Consider the following 9938-nt stretch of genomic DNA (forward strand, 5'->3'; position numbering starts at 1 on the left):
TCTGAAGGCACTCTAGGGGAATCCTCTGTTTCTTCCAGTCTTTGGTGGCCCCACACATGTTTTGGCTGTGGATACATAGATCCAGTCTCCACTTCTGTCTTCACATGGCCTCCTGTCTTTCTCTCTCTCTTTCTCTGTCTCTCTCTCTTTTTATTTTAGATGGAGTCTATGTTGCCTAGGCTGATTTCAAACTCTTAGGCTCAAGTGATCCTCCTGCCTTGGCCTCCCAAAGTTGAGATTACAGGTGTGAGCCACTGTATTAGTCCGTTTTCACACTGCTGATAAAGACATACCCAAGACTGGGGAGGCCTCACAATCATGGTGTAGGGCAAAAGGCACATCTTACATGGTGGCAGACAGAGAATGAGAGCCAAGCGAAAGGGGTTTCCCCTTATAAAACCATCAGATCTCGTGAGACTTATTCACTACCAGGAGAACAGTATGGGGAACTGCCCCCATGATTCAGTTATCTCCCTCTAGGTCCCTCCCACAATACGTGGGAATTATGGGAGCTAACAATTCAAGATGAAATTTGGGTGGGGACAGAGCCAAATGATATCAGCCATCTATCCTATCCAGTTCTATCTCTTATAAGGACATTTGTCGTTGGATTTAGGGCCCACTTGGTTAATTCAGAATGATCTCATCTTGAAATCCTCACTTACATCTGCAAAGATTCTTTTTCCAGATAAGGATACATACCTGGAGATAGGACTTGGACATGTATTTTTGGGGGCCGCCATTCAAACCACTACATTGACTTTGCAAATAAAAAACTTGACCAAAGAAAAGAAACTTGACCTGGTGGGTAGTCACAATTACTCATCCCTGACATACTGTTAAGTGGAGAAAAATCAATTCATGAGACATGTAAACGATTAACCTATTTAGTTAAAAATATATTGGCCAGGCGTGGTGACTCATGCCTGTATCCTGGTGCTGTGGGAGGCCAAGTTGGGAAGATTGCTCCAAGCTAGAAGTTCGTGACCAGCTGGGCAACATAAGAGAATCTCCCCATCTCTACAGAAAATTAAAAAAAAAAAAATTAGCCAACCATGGTGGCACATGCTTGTAGTCCTAGCTGCTCAGGTGGCTGAGGCAAGAGGATTGCTTGAGCCCAGGAGTTGGAGGCTGCAGTGAACTATGTTTGTGCCAGTGCACTGCATTCCAGCATGAGTGACAGAGCAAGACCCTGTCTGTAAATAAATAAATAAATTTATCTGTATGTTCATGTATAAATAGAATTTTTCTATTCTATTTTTACCTATTCAGGTATAGGTATTATACTCTGATACTTGCTTTCTTCTTATCTTTTAGTATTGTCAGATTTTTTTAATGCTTTTTATAAATATAGAAAAAAACCACAAAGCTCTTTACAGTTTGAAAAAAGCTTTTGTAGGAGTATCCAAAAATACTTAGCATGCATGTATGGATAGGGGGTGTTTTTTCTGTTCCTTTTGATGGAAATACCTGAGGAAAGGGTCTTCAACTGTGTAAGGAGTTTCTCTTAGCAACTTGAACTTAAAAGGTAGCTGGAATTGATATAAAATAAGTTGTGGAGCCATAATTATTTATATTACATAAAAACGTATGTTCTTTTTTCCAGATATGATTTGAGGCAGCTAGTGTAAAGTGTAAGAAAGCTGTTTTCTGGTTGGAAGGCCTAAGGAGAGAACATCGTCGGGCACGGCCAACTAAGGAATGTTACAGTCAGCTTGGCCAGTGTCTTGCCCTGGTCCTTAAACCAGTTGAGATGAGTAACTGATGAAGCTGTATTTTGTCTTCCCTTTGGCAGATTAGGATACTTGAAGAGGTAGGGGAAAGGCTTAGGTCAAGAGTAAACACCCTGCCTGTCCCTGGACTCATAAACATATTCATATTTACCCTTTGTTCTAGAACTTAAGTGCCATTTAACAAAAGTATTGCTTTATTGAATCATTGCTTTAAGGCACCAAATGGTACCCTCCAGGCTTAGGAGAGTTAATGTTTTTCTTAAATTGCCTGAGGATTCCCAAGGAGTATACCACTGGCAAATCTGACAACTGTTCCCATAACAAAAGCCTCATTTTTACATGAGAGTTTCATATATTGTTCTTCGAAGTAACTGTTGCTTCCATTACTTTTTATTTAATACATTTAAAAAATTATGATCAATTAAATGCTTTTTAAGTTTTCACCTAAGAGAGACTTTGATTTGAAAATATTTTAGGAAAACCTGTGTCATATCTCATTTAGATATCATCACCTGACTTTTCAAAAGTAAATACATTTTAAACTTTTTCATTGGAATCACGGTTTTATAAAGTGTATTGCAAGAAAAATTCAGAATCTCTTTTCAGTTTTACAAGTCTTTAAAATTAGTAGTCTATGTTGTGTTTAAAATAGAGCCACATGTGAATCTATTTATAATGTTTGGTTGTTTACTCCTGAATCCTGTCTTTGGGGAAATTGCTGATATGACAATAACTTACTGTCATTTAGAATCTAAACACTTAGGACTTTCCTCTTATCTCTACCTACCTGCACATAGTCTGAGCTGACTATCTCTTACATTCTTTTTGTCTCTTAGAAACATCTATTCTGAATGGTACAGGAGAAGCACAAACCTCTCAATATCATCAGTAGATTTGTGGGAGAAGAGTTTGGGTTATTAGTAAAGTTCACAATTCAAGGCTGTCACTATTTCTTCCTAATTACCATGGATAATCAAGAAGTTGAGGCAGGTTTACAATGTTGAGCAATACATACGATATTTGTTATTCTAAAGCAATCTGATAGAGTATGTGGTTGAATAAGCTTTTCTTCCATTTCTTAAATGGCTCAGAATGGGCTAATTATCAGGTCTAATCAAGAAGTCAAATAGTAAAAGACTGATTAATATTTTAACTGCATTAAACAATACATCTGATTAATATCTTAATCAGATTAATTAACTAGTTTTGTTTATTACTGTCATAGTGGATAACTAGAACTAATTGAAAATTAAATTGTATTTAGGTAGGTATTAGTGTCTTGAAATTTGTGTGATTAAAAAGTACCTTGAAGAAACAGTGTCAGGATTAATGAAGTCAACAGAGAATATCATTTTATGTTGTGAACTCACTCTCCAACAGATGGTGCTAGCTTTCCTCTAGTGAGAGCTGCCATGGCCTATCCTTTCTTAAAACAAACCATGAAGAGTGATGTGGGGATTTGTATAGAACACATTGTAAACATTTTTCTATTACCTATGTACTTTGGTTTATAAGACATCATCATTCCACACAATCAGTTGGAGAATCTATGATTGTATCCTTTTATGAATTTGATCTCTTCTGCTATAGCCATAAGAAATCATGTTTTTAAAAAGGTCATTTGTGTGATAATAATGTAACTAGGAGGGATCAAACTAACTTTTTCAGAAAAGTCAACTTAGAAGGCCTGTCACTTTTCCTGTATATTCCCTAAAATGATGTTGGGTATTGAAAATCTTGGGGGGGTGTTTCTTTCTAATTAATTTGCCATTTGCTTAGTGTTGATCTATTGTATGTGAAGCACAGTGCTAGGAACTGGGGATGAAAATAGAAGTTATGCTCCTTAATTCTCAAGGACCTAGTCCATTGTTTCCCAAACTTAAGTCGTTTTCATCCATCCTGTGAGATTTTTGCCATAATGATGTACTTCTTTACCATAATATGTTTACTTTAAATTAGCTCACTTTTATTTAAAAAGAAAGCTCTATCACCAATATTAATTTTTAAAGTTTTATGGACAGAAGGAGAGCCAGGCACAGTTGCTCATGCCTGTAATCTCAGTGCTTTGGGAGGCTGAGACAGGAGGATTGCATAAGGGCAGGAGTTTGAGACTAGTCTGGGCAACATACGATACCTCATCTCTAATAAAAATAAAAACAAATTAGCTGGGCATGGTGGTGTGTGCCTGTAGTCCCAGCTACTCAGGAGGCTGGAGCACAAGAATCTCATGAACCCAAGAGGTGGAGGTTGCAGTGAGCTGAGATCGTGCCACTGCACTCCAGCCTAGGCAACAGAGTGAGACTGTCTCAAAAAAAAAAAAAAAAAAAGGTTTATAGACAGAAGGAGAGCCAGGCACAATGGCTCATGCCTGTAATCCCCGTGCTTTGGGAGGCTGAGGCAGGATGATTGAGGCCAGGAGTTCAAGACTAGTCTGGGCAACATATGATAACTCATCTCTAGTAAAAATAAAAACAAATTAGTTGGGCATGGTGGAGTGTGCCTGTAGTCCCAGCTACTCTGGAGGCTGAGGTGGGAGGATCACTTGAGTCCAGGAGGTTGAGACTGAAGTGAGCTGTGTTCGTGCCACTGCACTCTAGCCTGGGCAATAAAGCAAGATCATGTCTCAAAATAATAATAATAAACAAAACCATGTTGGAAATTCCAGCCGATTACTTTTGTCTGCGCAGGCTCCAAGCCTGCTCTCTCTTATAAAAGGGAAATTAATCACTCAATATAGAGATGTTGAAGACATACTGGCACAAAACTAAAACTTTCTCCCTAATGTAAATATGGAAAGGGCCTAGTCTGGGCAACATACGAAACCTCATCTCTAATAAAAATAAAAACAAAGTAGCTGGGTATGGTGGTGTGTGCCTGTAGTTTTAACTCTCACACTATGCAATTCCACATTTAATGTCTCATCAGTGTAACATATAAAACTAAATAGTACCACCACTGGTGAGTATCTTTAATTTTTGAGAGACGTTCTTGCTAGAGATAGACACGTATGTAAATAAGTCATTATAATATTGTTTCATTAGTGCCACATAAAGGTATTTCGGAGTAGTATGGAGGATATAATGGAAACAGATTAGTTCTCTGGCGGGGAGTACTAGGAGTTATTTTAGAGGAAATCAATGTTTGTGCTATTTATTGGATTAAATTCACCCAGGAATAAAAAAAGCAAAGTGAACTCGATGAGCAAAGGGACATTTGTGGTGAGAGTAGTGTAGTGTTGCTGAACTAGGGGAGAAGGAAGGAAGAATGCTAAAGAGATTGGAATGGAGATTTAGAGCCAAAGTTGTTTTTGTTGTTGCTGTTGTTGTTTTTTTTTTTTTTTTCAATTCGGGGTCTTGCTTTGTTGCCCAGGCTGGAGTGCAGTGGTGCAGTCATGGCTCACTGCAGCCCCAACCTCCTGGACTCAAGCAATCCTCCCACTTCAGCTTCCCAAGTTGCTGGTGCTACAAGTGTGTACCACCATGCCCTGCTAATTTTTAAATTTTTTATAGAGGTAGGTCTTGCTATGTTTCCAGGCTGGTCTCACACTCCTGGCCTCAAGTGATCCTCCTGCCTCAGCCTTCCAAAATGCTGGGGTTACAGGTATGTAACCCCACTGTACCTGGCCCCATCAAGATTTTTTAAGCAGGAGATTAAGATCAGATTTGTGTTTAATAAGGATATTCTGACAAAAATGTGGAGGATGAATTGGAACAGTAGAGACTGGTACAAGCAGATCAGTTAAAAGGGTCTTGTGTGTGATATATTTTCTCTTTTAAAAAGTATTTCTCACCGGGCGCGGTAGCTCACGCCTGTAATCCCAGCACTTTGGCAGGCCGAGGTGGGCGGATCACGAGGTCAGGAGATCGAGACCATCCTGGCTAACACGGTGAAACTCCGTCTCTACTAAAAATACAAAAAATTAGCTGGGTGTGGTGGCAGGCGCCTGTAGTCCCAGCTACTCAGGAGACTGAGGCAGGAGAATGGCGTGAACCTGGGAGGCGGAGGTTGCAGTGAGCCGAGACCGCGCCACTGCACTCCAGCCTGGGTGACAGAGCGAGACTCCGTCTCAAAAAAAAAACCATTTCTCAGCTGGGTGCAGTGGCTCATGCCTGTAACCTCAGAACTTTGGGAGGCCAAGGCAGGTGGATTACCAGAGGTCAAGAGTTCAAGACCAGCCTGACCAAAATGGTGAAACCCCGTCTCTACTAAAAATACAAAAAAATTAGCCGGGCGTGGTGGCGGGTGCCTGTAATCCCAGCTACTCGGGAGGCTGAGGCAGGAGAGTCTCTTGAGCCCAGTAGGCGGACGTTGCAGTGAGCCAAGGTCGCACCATTGCACTCTAGCCTGGGCAACAACAGCAAAACTCTGTCTCAAAAAAAAAAAAAAATTCTCAGCCAGGCACAGTGGCTCATGCCTGTATTCCCAGCACTGTGGGAGGCCCAGACAGGCGGATCACTTGAGGTCAGGAGTCCGAGACCAGCCTGGCCAACATGGCAAAACCCCATCTCTAGTAAAAATACAAAAATTAGTTGGGCATTGGGGTGGGTGCCTGTAGCCCCAGCTACTTGAGAGGCTGAGACAGGAAAATCACTTGAACCTGGGAGGTGGAGGTTGCAGTTAGCTGAGATCATGCCACTACAATGCAGCCGGGGCGACAGAGTGAAACTCTGTCTCAAAAAAAAAAAAAGTAAAGTATTTCTTGGCTGGGCATGGTGTCTCATGCCTGTAGTATCAGCACTTTGGGAGGCCAAGGCAGGAGGATGGCTTGAGCCCAGAAGTTGGAGACCAACCTGGGCAACAAAGTGAGACCCCGTCTCTACAAAAAATTAAAAAGTTAGCCAGGTGTGGTGACACGCATCTGTAGTCCCAGCTACTGGGGAGGCTGAGGTGGGAGGATCACTTGAGCCTGTGAAGTTAAGACTGCAGTGAGCCATGATTGCACCACGGCATTCCAGGCTGAGGGACATAGAAAGACCTGTCTTAAAAAAAAAAGGCCTGGCATGGTGGCTCACGCCTGTAATCCTAGCACTTTGGGAGACCGAGGCGGGTGGATCACAAGGTCAAGAGTTCAAGACCAGCCTGGCCAAGATGGTGAAACCCCATCTCTACTAAAAATACAAAAATTAGCTGGGCATGGTGGCAGGCGCCTATAATCCCAGCTACTCGGGTGGCAGAGAATTGCTTGAACTTGGAGGTTGCAGTGAGCTGAGATTGCGCCACTGCACTCCAGCCTGGGTGACAGAACGAGACTCCATCTAAAAAAAAAAAAAAAAAAAAGGAGTTATTAGCATTGTCCACTGAAAAGGCTTAGAAACAATGACCAGCCCAGTACCATTTGGCACCCCTTATGGCCCAGACCATACTCCCTAAATATAATTTTGTCTTAAAATAAACAATGACTTTTTGGAAGTGTGGCTGATTCCATGCTTGAGGGAAAAATGTACACAATGAACCTAAAATATCTTGTCATATCAGAAAAAAGTTATCAAAAGCTTCTGGGGTCATGTGAAAAGGATTCCAAAGACAATCCTGGCTAGAGATAAGACAATTTGAGTAGCAATAAGAACAATAACTGCAATGAATTAAAACATATCAAATATTTTTAAGTGCACAAGTTCATAATTATACTAAAAAACAACCCTAATTGGTCACCTTTGGATCCTAACTTTCCTGTATAAATTTATTCCTCAGGGTAACCCAAATGGTTGATGAAGGAAGTTTTGTTTTGTTTTGTTTTTCTAAAAGTATTCCAGTCAATAAAATAAAGAGGAGATGATAGAATTATAATGTCATAATTTTGCAACCCCTAATGAAGTAGTGGGTCCAGGCAATGGCCATAAATGACTGCTAAATTAATACAAAGAGAAACATCCATTATATGCTCTTCTGAAGGAAGTTCACATCAGTACCTGTGAAATGCTTTTTTTTTTTTTTTTGAGACGGAGTGTCACTCTCTTGCCCAGGCTGGAGTGCAGTGGTGTGATTTTGGCTCACTGCAACCTCTGCCTCCCGGGTTCAAGCAGTTCTCCTGCCTCAGCCTCCCGAATAGCTTGGATTACAGGCATGTGCCGCCAAGCCTGGCTAATTTTGATTTTTGGTAGAGATGGAGTTTCACCATGTTGCCCAGGCTAGTCTCAAACTCATGACCTCAGGTGATTCACCCATCTCAGCCTCCCAAAGTGCTGGGATTACAGGCCAGAGCCACTGCACCTAGCTGAAATGCTCTTCCAAAAACACTGAGTCTAGCCTAGCTCAGCATTGGTTAATAGAACTTTCTGTAATAATGGAAGTGTTCTATATCTGCACTGTCCAATACTGTGGCCACTAAACACATGGGACTATTTAAATTTAAAATAAAATTTTAAATTCATTTAGTCCTGTTGTGGGAAGTCAGGGACCCCCAAATGGAGGGACCGGCTGGAGCCGCAGCAGAGGAACATAAATTGTGAAGATTTCATGGACATTTATCAATTCCCAAATAATACTTTTATAATTTTTATGCCTGTCTTTAATCTCTTAATCCTGTTACCTTCGTAAGCTAAGGATGTACATCACGTCAGGACCAGTGTGATAATTGTGTTAACTGTACAAATTGATTGTAAAACGTGTGTTTGAACAATATGAAATCAGTGCACCTTGAAAAAGAACAGAATAACAGCAATTTTTAGGGAACAAGAGAAGATAACCATAAGGTCTGACTGCCTGCTGGGTCAGGCAAAAAGAGCCATATTTTTCTTCTTGCAGAGAGCCTATAAATGGACATGCAAGTAGGAGAGATATTGCTAAATTCTTTTCCTAGCAAAGAATATTAATATTAATACCCTTGGAAAGGAATGCATTCCTGGAGGGAGGTCTATAAACGGCTGCTCTGGGAGTCTCTGTCTTATGCAGTTGAGATAAGGACTGAGATACGCCCTGGTCTCCTGCAGTACCCTCAGGCTTATTAGGGTGGGGAGAAAACTCCACCCTGGTAAATTTGTGGTCAGATCAGTTCTCTGCTCTCAAACCCTGTTTTCTGTTGTTTAAGATGTTTATCAAGACAATATGTGCACTGCTGAACATAGACCCTTATCAGTAGTTCTGCTTTTGCCCTTTGCCTTGTCATCTTTGTTGGACCCTTATCAGTAGTTCTGCTTTTGCCCTTTGTCCTGTTCCCTCAGAAGCATGTGATCTTTGTTCTGCTTTTTGCCCTTTGAAGCATGTGATCTTTGTCCCTACTCTCTGTTCTTACACCCCCTCCCCTTTTGAAACCCTTAATTAAAAAACTTGCTGGTTTGAGGCTCAGGTGGGCATCATGGTCCCACCAATATGTGATGCCACCCCCGGTGGCCCAGCTGTAAAATTCCTCTCTTTGTACTTTCTCTTTATTTCTCAGCCAGCTGACACTTATGGAAAATAGAAAGAACCTATGTTGAAATATTGGGGGCGAGTTCCTCCAATAAGTCCCATGAGCCACTTTTCAAATGCTCAATATCTATATGTGGCTGGTGACAACTCTAGTTCTATCAGTTTTCAGGAAATACAGGGGCTAAAAAAGCACATTAATACCACCAAAAGAAAGCAATCAACAATATCCACAATGTGGAAAACTACAGGGCAAGCTACAAAGTTTCTTCAACAAATTGCAAGAAAAAAGAAAAAGGAGAGAAGCTGGTGTAGGCAAAGCTAGAGGGTGTGGTGGCCTCTCATTCTGTGGCCAAGAACCCCTTGACACTCATTGAGGGGTTATTCCTGCAGAGTCAGGGGGCTGCCACCAAGATGTGAGGAGAGAAAAAAGGGAGGTACAGGCCAAAAGGCAGGAGGGTGAGGGAGAATGGGGAGTAAAGGGGATGGGATCATGTCCAATCATGTGTATTTGTACAATAGCATTCTACACAGAATGAAAAAAGGGGTGGACCAACATGCATGAATCCCAAGCACATTGTGTTGAGCAAAAGAAGCCAGATACTGCAATCCTAGCCCTCTGGGAGGCCAACGCAGGAGGATTGCTTCAGCTCAGGAATTTGAGGCTGCAGTAAGCTATGATAGTGCCACTGCTTTCCAACCCAGCCTGGACAACAGAGTGAGATCCTGTCTCTAAATAAATAAATAGTTTTTAAATAAATTACTCAGTTTCAGGTATTATTTTAAAAGCAATAGAAAATGGACCAAGACACCCCTCTTCTCTCTGTTTCTAATTTTTTTTTTTTTTTTTTTTTTGAGAGA

At 41.2% G+C, this 9938-nt stretch overlaps 1 protein-coding gene across 4 annotated transcripts in view, besides 3 other annotated features; it reads left to right on the plus strand.

Moving 5' to 3' along the window:
* PM20D2 (peptidase M20 domain containing 2) overlaps positions 1–9938 on the plus strand; it is a 71626-nt gene that overhangs the window by 25739 nt on the left and 35949 nt on the right. Inside the window, exon 1 of one of the 4 annotated variants that reach the window (XM_005248662.5) lies at positions 1625–1813. The exons of the other annotated variants lie outside the window; for them this stretch is intronic. The gene's annotated coding sequence lies outside the window, so the exon portion shown is untranslated. Of the gene's footprint in view, positions 1–1624; positions 1814–9938 lie in introns of those variants that run through there. 4 annotated transcript variants of the gene reach the window in all.
* Positions 3097–3226: an enhancer, noted in NCBI's record as "active region_24819". NCBI's record gives its function as "activates an Ori minimal core promoter by ATAC-STARR-seq in GM12878 lymphoblastoid cells {active_cell/tissue: GM12878}" and the evidence as "EXISTENCE:reporter gene assay evidence [ECO:0000049][PMID:35858748]".
* Positions 8712–9006: an enhancer, noted in NCBI's record as "tiled region #5254; HepG2 Activating non-DNase unmatched - State 23:Low". NCBI's record gives its function as "activates a minimal TATA promoter and a strong SV40 promoter by Sharpr-MPRA in HepG2 cells {active_cell/tissue: HepG2}" and the evidence as "EXISTENCE:reporter gene assay evidence [ECO:0000049][PMID:27701403]".
* Positions 8712–9006: a silencer, noted in NCBI's record as "tiled region #5254; K562 Repressive DNase matched - State 9:DNaseU". NCBI's record gives its function as "represses a minimal TATA promoter and a strong SV40 promoter by Sharpr-MPRA in K562 cells {active_cell/tissue: K562}" and the evidence as "EXISTENCE:reporter gene assay evidence [ECO:0000049][PMID:27701403]".

Source organism: Homo sapiens, chromosome 6, assembly GCF_000001405.40.
Source record: "Homo sapiens chromosome 6, GRCh38.p14 Primary Assembly".
In the NCBI taxonomy this organism is placed as follows: domain Eukaryota; kingdom Metazoa; phylum Chordata; class Mammalia; order Primates; family Hominidae; genus Homo; species Homo sapiens.